The following is a 13,237-nucleotide window of genomic DNA, read 5'->3' as shown; positions in this document are numbered from 1 at the left end:
TGCGAAAATGTGAAAACAACCCAAATGTCCATCAACAGACAGACAAATAAAATGTGGTATATCCATATAATGGAATGTTTGGCAATAATAAGAAATGCATGATGATATGCAAAGATAGACAAACCTTGAAAACATGCTAATGAAAGAAGTCAGACACAAAAGACCGCATGTCGTATGATTCCCACTCATACAAAATGTCTGAAATAGGCAAATCTATAGAGACAGAAAGTAGATGAGTGGTTGCTTAAGGCTGAGGGGCTTGGGAAAAATGGGGAGTGACTGCTAATAGGTGCAAAGTTTCTTTTGGTGATGGAAATGTTACAGATTAGACAGTGGTGATAGCTGCACAACTGTGAATACATTAAAACCATTGAACTGTACACTTTAAATGGGTAAGTCCTATGGTATGTGAATTATATCTTGATAAAGCTATTAAAATCTATTGTGTATTATCTTAAAATAATTACAGCTTTCAACCATCAAATGATATGTCTTATCAAGATGAAGTATGGATATGTTGTCACCCCAACAGCTACAATCCATGTAGTTCACGAAGTCCTGTCACAGCGCCCAGTCCCCATGACCAAGAGTCTTCCCCAGGGCATTTCTTCCCAGAGAAGATGCTCTCTCTTCCTAGGATCACAGGTGGAGCTGGTTTCAATTGGGGCTGCTTCTGTTACAAGAAAGAATGGGCCAACACTCAAAGAAAAGCAGAATGAGAGAGGGAATGGGGCAGTGGGATAAGGAGGGAGGGGGAAAGAGGAAGGGGAGAAAGGAGGAGACACAGAGAAGAAGAGCACAGTATTTATTGTTGGAGCATCTGCATCCAGCCATGCCGGCTAGTTTAAAGTGGGTTTCTGTAATTTGCCTTTAGGGGAGTCTTAATATGTTATTTCACAACAAACTCTTTCCTCATTTAACTGATGAACTTTCTAAGGATCTATACACAAGTAAAACGAAATCCTGGGCCTTTTTTGTTTAACAATAAGACATATGAAACATTGGAAAGAGCACATATAGCTTAGTGGTTAAATGAAGTCAGACAGACTTAGATTCAAATGTGAGTCCTAGGCTTACCTAAGTGACCTTGGGTACACACTATCTAACTTCCCCAAAACTTAGTTGCCTCTTCTATAAAATGGGAGCCCTAGGTTTGGTTTCCTTACACACAGGCCACTGTCCGGATTAAATGAGATAACCCATGGCAGGCTCTAAATACAGTACCTGGCATATGAAAACACAAATATATGACCCACCATTATTAGTGGTAAACTCATGATTTATCACAGATATATTTAGAACATAGAAAAGTTTTGTTTTAAAGCAAAGATAATATGAATAAGACTAGTAGTTAAGACCTGGAGAAAGCTGTACCATGCTTCACAAAAAATACTTCTCATTCATTTGAAGATCATTATTTTTAAGATATGTTAAAAACTAAACTTAGCAATGGTAAATACAACAGCCAGAACCAAAAATGCTAATTCATAAAATCAATTCCGGTTCTCATCTAACCTTGTCCAATACATACTTTAGTCAGAGTTACTTCTGCTTAGCCTTCAGTCTGCAATCACTTTTGAAAACCACTCCCCACTTGCAAATAAGACAGCTTTAGATAACTATTTAGATTGCTAAGCTTTGTGTTCTTCTATGACACTGAATTTTATTGCATCCACATGAGAGAATTCCCTCCATTCATTTACTGCCTGTAGATATCAATAACTTGGCTCAGACATAAGTTTTCCCCAAAAGTGACCCTGTGATCACCCAGCTGAGTTTATTCATTCATTCAACAAAGATTTAGTGAGACCCTACTATGTGCCAGGTCCTGTACTAGGTACTAGAGATGCAGAGAATAAAACAGATACCTCTTCTCTCTGTTCTCATGAGGACCTGTTGCCTCCTCATCAGAACATTAACCACACTGATTTCTGATTTCCTAATTACTTCTCTGTAACCCCTGCAGAGACTCTAAGCAAACCTGAGGTCAGGGACCATAGCAAATCTGATTTTTATTGTATCACATTATTTTGAATAATAAGTCATGGAAAAAAATTGAAATAGAATGAGTTGTCTGCACAGTATAGCCACAATATAGCTATTTGCATGGTCAGAGACTCATGCAGAGCAAACTAGGAAGTGTGTAGAGAGACATAGGCTTTACAGGTCACTGAGACTCCCATCAGTGCTGAATATAGCCTGCCACTGATGTCCTGGCTACATTTAGAGTTTGATCCAAATTATATGATACAGGCCGGGCGCGGTGGCTCACGCCTGTAATCCCAGTACTTTGGGAGGCTGAAGTGGGCGGATCACAAGGTCAGGAGATCGAGACCATCCTGGCTAACACGGTGAAACCCCGTCTCTACTAAAAAAATACAAAAAATTAGCCAGGTGCGGTGGCGGGTGCCTGTAGTCCCAGCTACTCAGAAGGCTGAGGCAGGAGAATGGCGTGAACCTGGGAGGCGGAGTTTGCAGTGAACTGAGATCGCACCACCGCACTCCAGCCTGGGCGATAGAGTGAGACTCCGTCTCAAAAAAAAAAAAAAAAGAAAAAAAACAAGTTATATGATATAGATGTAAAATTATATGATATAGATATAAAATATACATTTATTTTTATAAATACATAAATCAGATTATCTTTTCATTGAAAATATGTCTATATAAGGTAAGGAAGAATAAAACTCCCCATAGATTAGCTAATATAGAATTTCTTAGGTGAAACGCACCAATTCCAGAAAAAGCGTGAACTACTACAACTCACCGAATATGAATTTAAATAGCCCTATGACTAACTGTTAAGAAAACTGAATTTGTAATTTAGAATCTCATGGAAAACAATCTTTAGGCCAGCCGGGCGCAGTGGCTCACACCTGCAATCCCAGCACTTTGGGAGGCTGAGGCAGGTGGATCACTTGAGGTCCAGAGTTCGAGACCAGCCTGACCAACATAGTGAAACCCCGTCTCTACTCAAAAGACAAAAAATTAGCTGGGTGTGGTGACACACACCTGTAATCCCAGCTACTGAGGCTGAGGCAGGAGAATCACTTGAACCCAGGAGGCAGAGGTTGCAGTGAGCCAAAGTTGTGCCATTGCACTCCAGCCTGGGCAACAAGAGCAAAACTCCACCTCAAAAAAAAAAAAAAAAAAAAAATCGCTAGGACCAGATAGTTTTACTGGAGAATTCTATCAAATGTTTAAAAAAGAATTAACACTGGTTTTATACAATCCTTCCCAGAAAACAGAAGAGGAAAGAATACAGCTCACTTCAATAAAGGGAGTGTTCTAGACTTAAAGAGACTAAAGAGACATGAGAACTAAATGCAACCTGTAATTCTGAACTAGATCCTGTTGCTAAACAGAATTTGATGAGATAACTGGTAAAACTTGAATAAAGTCAAAGATGTGATTATGGAAATGTATTAATTTTCTCATTTTGATGGTCATTTTGATATTACACAGCAGAATGTCCTTTTTGTAGGAAAATACCACAAAATATTCAGAAGCGATGGGTCACCAAGTCAGCAACTTACTCTCAAATGGTTCAGGAAAAAGCAAATGTTCTCGGAATTGTACTCATAACCTTCCTGTAAATTTAATATTGTTTTAAAACAAAAAAAATTACTTCTTAAAAATATAGAAGGCTATCTTTATGATCTCAGGATATAGAAGAATTTCCTAACCTAGGTATAAAAATATTGCAAATCATGAATGTTATAAATTCAGTAACATGAAAATTAAGAACTTTATAAATGGAACATTATTCAGCTGTTCAAAAGGAAAGAAATTCTGGTTTTTATGAGTCACATAACATACATCATATGTGGCAACATGGGTGAACCCTTAAGACATATACTAACTCAAATATGCCTCTCACAAAAAGACAAACACTGTACATTTCCACTTATATGAGGTATCTAGAACAGTCAAATTCATAGAAACAAAAGGCCAGCGGCTGGGCCTGGGGGAAAATAGGGAGTTGTTTAATTAATATATGGTTTCAGTTCTGTAAGATGAAAAAGTCCTGGAGATCTACTACTCAACATTGTGAATACACTTATCACTACTGAACTGTGCACTTAAAGATGGTTAAGATGGTAAATTTCATGTTTATTACCACATACATATATATATTTGTTGACAACACTATGAAGAAAGAAAGGAAATAACACAATCTAGCAGAAGTCACTCCTCTCTGGGATGGGATCTAAAAAGGGCACACAGGGAACTTAAAAAATTATTTTCCTTAAGTTTGAGTACAAGTGGCTTACATCATCCTCTAAAAGGATACCTCTTGCAAATCTAATTTTTAAAATCAACTCCCCAGGAAAGGGAAGATGTACCAGTACAAAGAGCTCTAAAAATAAATAAAGAACTAAAAGAGAGGGAAGGGAAAAGGAAAGAACCAGGAATTCTCCCAATATTATTAACTTTAAAGTCTATTTTCTAAATAATAAAGGATCAATTTCTGTACAACAACTTAAAGTTATAAGTGGTACTGATCAAATTAGACGTAATTTTACATAAACTACCAAATATCTTTTTAAAATATGGAGCCAAATAATATCAAACCCTCAGCCTCCCTATATTACTCACCAAAACAGGAGGAGTCAGACAGGACAGCGGCAGTTCTCGGTGGTCTGACCGAGGGGAAGCAGAAAGATGTGCTGAGGGCCAGCGTTCTGCCTGGAGAAAGATGGAAGCTGGCGGCTACACAAAATACAGCTTGTTCAGAGGCCTCCCACTCCTGACTGCTTTCCCTCTAAGAAAAAAAAATGGTAAGGCTCAAAAATATATGCACATAGTTCCTTAGGGGGAAAAAATTAAATGTCTAATTTTTCTTCTCAATAGCTTTAAGACATGCAAATCAAATTCTGAATTTTCTGCTATTCAACTGGCTATATCAGCTGGGACTCAGGTCAGATACAGATGGGTCACTGATGCTGATTGAAAATCACCTATATTTTACTGTTATCTTTATTCACAATGCTTTCAGGAAAAAAACAAGTTTGATTTAAATTTTTCTCATCATTCTACTCAAATGACCACAGGCTCTTTATTCTATCAAACGAAATTCTTACTCTGAAAAATACAACAGAATCCTTTAAAGATAAAATGTGCAACCTCCAAATAGAATCTTGAGTCCTGCCCCATACCCTGAACTCCAGACTCACATTTTCAATGGTCTCCACATTTCTACTTCAGAGTATAGCAAGCATCTGAAACTTAACACAGTCGAAAGGAAAATCTTTCATATTCACCCTTTCCCATATTCCACAGCCACTTCTCTTCCAGGCAGGTGCAAAAAGGCTGTCACATTTACCTTCCACTAAGCTGTTAACATTTAAACTGTCCATGGATGGCAAAGCTAAAAGAGCACTGACTGTAACACTCCTTCTGGGGCCACGGGGCCCACACAGAGTTTTGCTCCTGCCGGCACCCAAAAGCACTCAACCCGGCTCCTATGCTCACTTACCTGTGTGTTCCCTCCCACGGGGGGTTGAGCACAGGGGGTTCCAGTTAGTGGGGTCTGCCCCTACCAGCACCTAAGTGGCCGGCTACTTCCGGCACCCACATCTCAGTTCCCACCAGCAAAGGGGTCAGGGAAATTATCCTGCTTCACTACCTCAGCCAGGTGACCAAATTAACATCAACAATGATCAGTCACACTGAAAGCACATACCCTTTGTATGATGTGATGAAAACGACACTTCATCTTTGTGGTCTTCCTCCCAAACACCCATAAGACCAGACACATCATAAGAAATACATTTGATAAATCCCACTTGAGGGACATTCTACAAAATGCATGACCAGTAGTCCTCAAAGCTGACAAGGTTAACAAAAAAGAAAGGAAAGTCTGAGAAACTGCCACAGTCTAAAGGAAGCTAAGGAGACACAACGACTAAATGTAATATGGTAACCTACATAAGATACAGGAACACAAAAAGGACCTTGTTATAAACTGCATGTTTGTGGCCCGCCCAGAATCTTCATATGTTGAAGCTTTAACCCCGAATGTAATGGTATTTGGAGATAGGGCATTTGGGAGGTAATCAGGATTCAATAAAGTCCTGAGGGCAGGGCCTTGGCCTGAAGGGATTAGTGCCCTTATAAAGAGACACAGAGACCTTGTTCTTTCTCTCTTTCAGCAAGAACACACCTAGGAAAGGGGACTGTGCCCCTCTGCAAGCCAGGAAGAGAGTCCTCACTGGAACCCAATCATGCTGGCACCCAGATCTCAGAGTTCCAGCCTCCAGATCTGTGAAAAAATAAATTTCTGTTGTTTAATCCACACAGTCTATGGTATTTTGTTACGGCAGCTAACTAATACAGACCTTAAGTAAAAACTAAAGAAATCAATCAAGTATAGAATTTAGTCAATAATAATGTATCACAAGTTGCGACAAATGACAATACTAATATAACACGTTAACAACAGCAAAAACTGGATGTAAGTTATTTGGGAAGTCTCTCTACTATTTTCACAACTTTCTGTAAATTTAAAACTTTTCTAAAATACAACGTGTATTTCTAAAAATCCGATGGCTTCCTATGATATTTTTATTATAACCAAAGGCCTCCCAATCTCTTTCACTCATCATCTAATACTTACACCTTGCTCACTCTGGTCTACTATGTTCACCTTTACAAGGGTTACAAAGTGTGAGTTACGCAAGTGTACACATTTGTCAAAATTGATCAAACTACACACTTCAGGTCTATGCATTTCACCATATATGTTATAATTCAATTACAATTATTTTAAAATATATGATTGCAAAATGAATACTCTGATGACCTAAGAAATACCCTTGAATTTGGTGGCCGCAAACACTAACATTTCTTTTGCTCTGGAATCTGCAATTTGGCATGGTTCAGCATGGATAACTCATTGCTTCTCTATTTGCCATCAGCCAGGGACTGGTATTATCTAAAGGCTCACTAACTCATATATCAGATGATGGATGCTGGCTGTCACCTGAGACTTTGGTGGGGCCTGGAGGTTCAAACACCTATACAAGGCATCTTTTTATGCCCTGAGGTTCCTCACAATATGGTGGCTGTATTACAGAAACTTTATATTCAGTGTGACTCTAATTTTGTTTCAATATACACACGCATTCTAAAAAAATTAACAAAAGTTTTCTCTGGAGTGAAGGAAAATGAGTGATTTTTAAACTTTCAGTTATATGTTTTTATTTCATAAATTTTATACAATAAAATGTATTACCTTCTCAATCAGATGAAAAAAATTCAGTTCCCTATTAGGGTACATAATACATTAGTGAAAACACAAATGAAATTGGAAATGCAGAAGTATCAAATACATTTATATGTTATAAAAAAAAAGAATCCACTCATAAACAGTAAAAACATTATGAAATACTTCACTCCACCTTACTTTTTTTTTTTTTTTTTCCTGAGACGGAGTTTCACTATTGTTGCCCAGGCTGGAGTGCAATGGCATGATCTCAGCTCACTGCAACCTCCGCTTCCCGGGTTCAGGCGATTCTCCTGCCTCAGCCTCCTGAGTAGCTGGGATTACAGGCGTGTGCCACCACGCCCAGTAAATTTTTGCAATTTTAGTAGAGACAGGGTTTCACCATGTCGGTCAGGTTGGTCTTGAACTCTTGACCTCAGGTGATCCTCCTGCCCCAGCCTCCCAAAGTGCTGGGATTATAGGCATGAGCCATTGCGCCCAACCCACCTTACTTTTTAAGTTACAGATGAACTGAACATCAGCACATCAGAAACTAATAAAAAATACAAATATGTTCAATGATACTGGTGTCTTCTAAATTGCATATCTGGCCCTTTTTCATGGCACAGGTCTCCCTTAGTCCAATTCCTTCCTCAAAACCTTCTCTCCATATATTCCTTTAATCATAACCACCTACTAAACATTACCCTAGAAATAAAATCATCTGGAAAGCAAGGCCTACAAAGGCAAACCTCAGATGCTAGATACTTCCTATCTTAAAGCATGGTGTAACCTCACTTAATAATAGATTCTATATTTTTCTTAAGATTTAAGGCCTAATGAACAAATACTATGGCTACCTCAAGGTCACTCTGGACTTCTCAGTAATGATTAAACAATCCAGGAGTCTATGGCAAGATCTTTTGCTCCTTTTCCTTCCCCGGCCTCAGGCTTATTGCAAAACACTCCCTCCTTTCTGCTACCTGGCCCTGCAAGGCATATTCTTACATTCCACACAGACCATTAATTTCTATCATCTCATAAATTCTACACTTACTCTAGTAAAAAGTTAACTGTTTTTCTTACACTAAAGTTCTTTTCTTCATCTGACATCAAATAACTACTTTTATAATTTCCTAATTTTTCAAAACACTGTTAATTTGCTCATACCAAATTAATAAACTGATGTTATATTTTTGCACTTTTCATTTCCTGATGTGTCTTTTTCCTGTTAACTCACACTATCTGATTACAACAAATTCATAAGCTTTCTCTCAACCTGGACTATTTACATTATAAAAATGTTCTATGTTCTATAAAATGCTCAACTTTAAAATGATAGCTAAATGATTTTATTCATCCAATTTTACAATGTGAGTTTTCAGTTATTCCAAGAACTTCATCAACTAGAAAGTCAATTCTTAGGTGCGTCAAAGAAACAATTTATTATCGGTATGAAAAGTTAAGGCTTGAGTGGTATTAATCAAATATTCCCAAGACTTGCTCAAATAGAAAACAACTGAAAATATACTCATGTGTTGCTTAATGATGGGGATACATTCTTAAAAATGCATCATTAGGCAATTCCGTTTCTGTGTGGACATCACAGTGTACTTACGTAAATCTGGACAATCTAGCCTACGACACACGCAGGCTAGATGGTACACATGCAGGCTAGATGGTACAGTCTGTTACTCCTAGGTTACAGACGTATACAGCAGCTTACTGTACTGAATACTGTAGTAACTAACACAATAGTATGTGTGTATCTAAACTTGGAAAAGGTACAGTAAAGATACAGCATAAAAGATAAAAAATAGCATAGCTATACAGGGCACTCACCATGAATGAAGACTGCAGGACTAAAAGTTGTTCTGGGTGAGTGAGTGGTGAGTGAGTGCTAAGGTCTAAGACATTAGTGTACACTACTGTAGACTTTATAAACACTCTACATTTAGGCTACACTAAATTTATTTTTAAAAAGTTCTTCTTTCTTCAGTAATAAATTAACCTTGGCTTACTGTAGTTTTTTTACTTTATAAACATTTTAACTCTTCTGTAATTGCACTTAGCTTAAAACACATATTGTACAGCTGTACAAAAGTATTCTTTCTTTATATCCTAATTCTATAAGCTGTTTTCTATTTACTTTTAATTTTAAAACTTTTTGTTAAAAACTAAGACACAAACAGGCCGGGCATGGTGGCTCACACCTGTAATCCCAGCACTTTGGGAGGCCGAGGCACGCAGATTGCCTGATGTCAGGAGTTTGAGACCAGTCTGGCCAACATGGTGAAACCCCGCCTTTATTAAAAACACACAAAAAATTAGCTGGATGTGGTGGCGTGTGCCTGTAATCCCAGCTAGTCGGGAGGCTGAGGCAGGGGAGTTGCTTGAACCAAGAAGGTGAAGGTTGCAGTGAGCCGAGATCTGTGCCACTGCACTCCAGCCTGGGCGACAGAGAGAGACTCTCATCTCAAAAAAAAAAAACCTAAGACACAAACACACCCATTAGCCTAGGCCTACACAGGGTCCAGATCATTTATATCACTATCTTCCACCTCTAATCTTGTCCCACTGAAAGGTTTTCAGGGGCTATAACATGCATGTAGCTGTCATCTGCTATTATGACAGTGCCATCTTCTGGAATATTTCCTGAATATTGTAGTGTAATTGCACTTAGCCTGCCTCAGGCTGTTCCATAGTTAACTTTTCTTTAGTCAACAGGAGCACGCTCTAAAACAATGATAAAATGTATAGAAACTACACAAACCAGTAATGTATTTAACATTATCAAGTATTATGTACTGTACATAATTGTATATGTTAGACTTTTACAGGACTGGTTGCACAGTAGGTTTGTTTACACCAGCATCACCACAAAAACATGAGTAATGTGTTGCCCTAAGACACTATGAATACTGCAGCTTCACTAGGCAACGGGAATTTTTCAGTTCCCTTATAATCTATGGGACCAGCATCATATATGGGGTCTAATGACCTCACTGGCACTATGCAGTACATGACTGTACTACACAAATTAGGGCTATACGTGGCTGTACAAATTTATAGTAGTCCCAAGGTACCAACTCAAGACCTTTGACTAAATAAAGAAGGATGTCAAAAATTTTTAAGTCCTGTCTCCTTCTCTTGATTCTCCTGCTTATTTCAGTACTGAAAAAGAACTTTCTCTGGTTGCTGATATGTTTAAATGAGTTCATTACTATCAAATCACTTTTAAAAACTTATACACATTATATAAATTAAAAGGTGTTATTAGCACAGTCAAGAAAATATTTCGGCATGGGACGGAGGGTAAGCCTATGGCAGACGTGGGGTTGGGAGAAGGGAAAGTAAGAGGGGGAAGAGAAAGACAGAATGTGAATATATGCTTGTCTCCCTAAAAGAAATGTAAATATATACGCCTATCTCCCTTGCCCCTCATCAGCAAAATGTTTGCATTTGCTGATACATTGTCAGCAGCCTATTTAATCAGGAGTGTGATATGCTAAAAGGTCATACACTGCATGTCAGTGTGGAAAACAAAGAGGATCCTCCACAGTGCTGAGAAGATGAAAAACTCTAAATTCTGATCAATTTATTAATAAACAGAGAATAGTGTTTTCTTCAAATACACGATTAATTTCATTACCAATACTTTATTTGCATGATACACATTATAACTGCTGTTGAAGGTAGGTGGGGATAGGTACTTTACTATTTAACTGGAAGTTATGACAGCAATATGAGATTTCAACAGAAGGCAGAATTATTTTACACTCCTTCCACATACTTTATTTTATTTTAAACAGTAAAGCACACGGCAACCTGTACCCTAATGTCAGGTTTCCAGCTTGCTGCTAGGAAAAGTCGTCTGGACAAGGGGGAATCCTATATTATAAATGAAATCCCTGAAGATTAAACAACAGGAGCACATTCTAGCTAAGGACCTTGAACCAGTATCCCGTGTAAAGTGCAAGTATGCTTGAAATAATTGTAAGCAAAATTTCCAAAGTCAACTAGCTTTAGCCTGAGGCTACAGCAATCACCTAACTCTACCCCCACACACCCCATCAACAACTTCCTTAAATCTTATCCTCAGTTCTCACAATAAAATACTTCCAAACTTTCTTTGCTGAATAAAAATGGCGCTGCTTTTCCCATCACAATACTGTTGATTTCTCAGTAACCGTTAGGCCCTTTCACCATCAGACTCGTTGGCCTCATTTAAATGCCACCCTTCCATAGACACTGCCAAGTGCTTTTTTGAGGGTTGGGCCAGGAGGTAAAAGTGGCTGCTTCTATCTACAAGGATGCAACTTTCTCAGCTAGAATCCTGGGAATAAATCCCTCTGACTTTTCTTCATAACCTCTCTGCCCTCCTCGAAACTGTTGCCTCTGTGTCCCTTAAACCACACTCCAATGCAAACTGTCCCCAAAGTGCAGCAGCACTTAGGCCTCTCTGTGCCCCCTCGCACCCATCAACGCCATCGCTAATGCACCGTTCTCACCTAGACCCATGCATCAGCCTCTCCAGTGGTCGCTCAGAGCCACGCTCCGGGCAGGCACCACCACGCAGGCCTCCGCGAAGCACAGCCTTCCGCGCCCCGTCTACACCCCAGCCCGTGCGCGCCCGTGCGCACCAAAGGCAGCTCCGGGACCCGACTGCTGAGTCCCAGCCCCGCTGCGGCGGAGGGCAGGGACCAGCACGCACACCCTCAAGTCTGTATGAAGACCTTCCCCGGGGGCTGTCGCCGGCACCAACGCCCGGCCCACCCCGGCCCCGGCGGCGGATGAAGGTCTTGGGGCGCAAGCCGCAGAAGGAGGGAGGAGGCACTTCCGAGCGAGGGCTCTCCCGGGAAAAAACAAAGTTGTCTTCGCCTCCCTGTTCAACTCTCAGTGAACAGTATTTTTACCCAAATTACAAACTGCCAAACCCTTAAGTCTTGAGCTTTCAAGGAGAGTTAGGAACCCTCCTATGGCATTGTCTTCTAAAAATCTGCTGCACAAAGTTGATGTCTGCATCAACTTTGGAGCTCAAATGGATTACTTTTATGAAGTTTGGGGCAAATGGATTATATACACATAGGAACCCCTCCCCCAACACACAGAAGGTACGTGGACACGCAGAATTCCCGGCGGCGGGAGGAGGGCACCGAGAGACCGGCCCCAATCCCCACACCTCTCCCAGGCCCCCCTGCTCTGGCAGTACCGCGGCCGCAAAGGGCGGCGAAGGCGCGATGACCGACGCCCGGGTGCCTCGGCCTACCTACCTGGTCGAGTGGCAGGTGCACTGGGTTGCTGAGGGGCCGCAGCAAGGTGGAGCCCGTGGTACTGATGATACTGGAAGGCGACTGAAAGGCTCAGACTAGAGACTGCTCTCAACTTTGCGCCCTGGCCGCCGCCCGGCTCGCCGCGAGTGACAGCTCCCCTGCCTCTGACTGCCAGCAACTTCTAACGCCCGCTCCGCACCTGGCGCTCGCTGGCGGCAGACGGTCTTAGGGAACAATTGTGGCGTGGATCGCCGACGCGGCAGCCAATCAGAGAGCGCCGGCCGCACCGCGCCCCTCCCCCCTGCCGAGGATGCGGCACGAGGAGGAAGCGCGGTGAGGGCTGTAGCCAGAGGGGGCCTCGCGGGCGTGGTGGGACGCGTTCTGAAGATGGGAGATTAGTAGGGCGTCTTTGCCCTCCTCGCCCCTCCATTTCTCCTCCCTGAAATGTCGCGGCAATCCACCTCTGTCTAGGAGGGACGGAAGACAACCTAGAGGCGCGGGGTGGTCCCCCCAAGAAAGGGGAGAACTAAGGGACGTCCCAAGCATCGCTGGGGACATTGGGGAACAAGCTTGGGCCTGGGAAGAGGAGGGCGGCAAACCAAACCTAGCTGAAAAGCCCCTTTGTCTTTGAAACTGCTGTGTAAAAGCCCAAAGTTGAGAACAGTCACATGGTCTGACCCTTTCAGTCGCCCTCCAGTCACACCTGGGCCTTCCAGGCGGTGGGAGGTGGGCCTGGGTTGGACGCCTGTGGTCTCAG

Source organism: Homo sapiens, chromosome 8 (genome assembly GCF_000001405.40).
Source record: "Homo sapiens chromosome 8, GRCh38.p14 Primary Assembly".
Taxonomy (NCBI): Eukaryota; Metazoa; Chordata; class Mammalia; order Primates; family Hominidae; genus Homo; species Homo sapiens.
The sequence above is the reverse complement of the archived record's forward strand: the minus strand, read 5'-3'. Positions refer to the sequence as shown.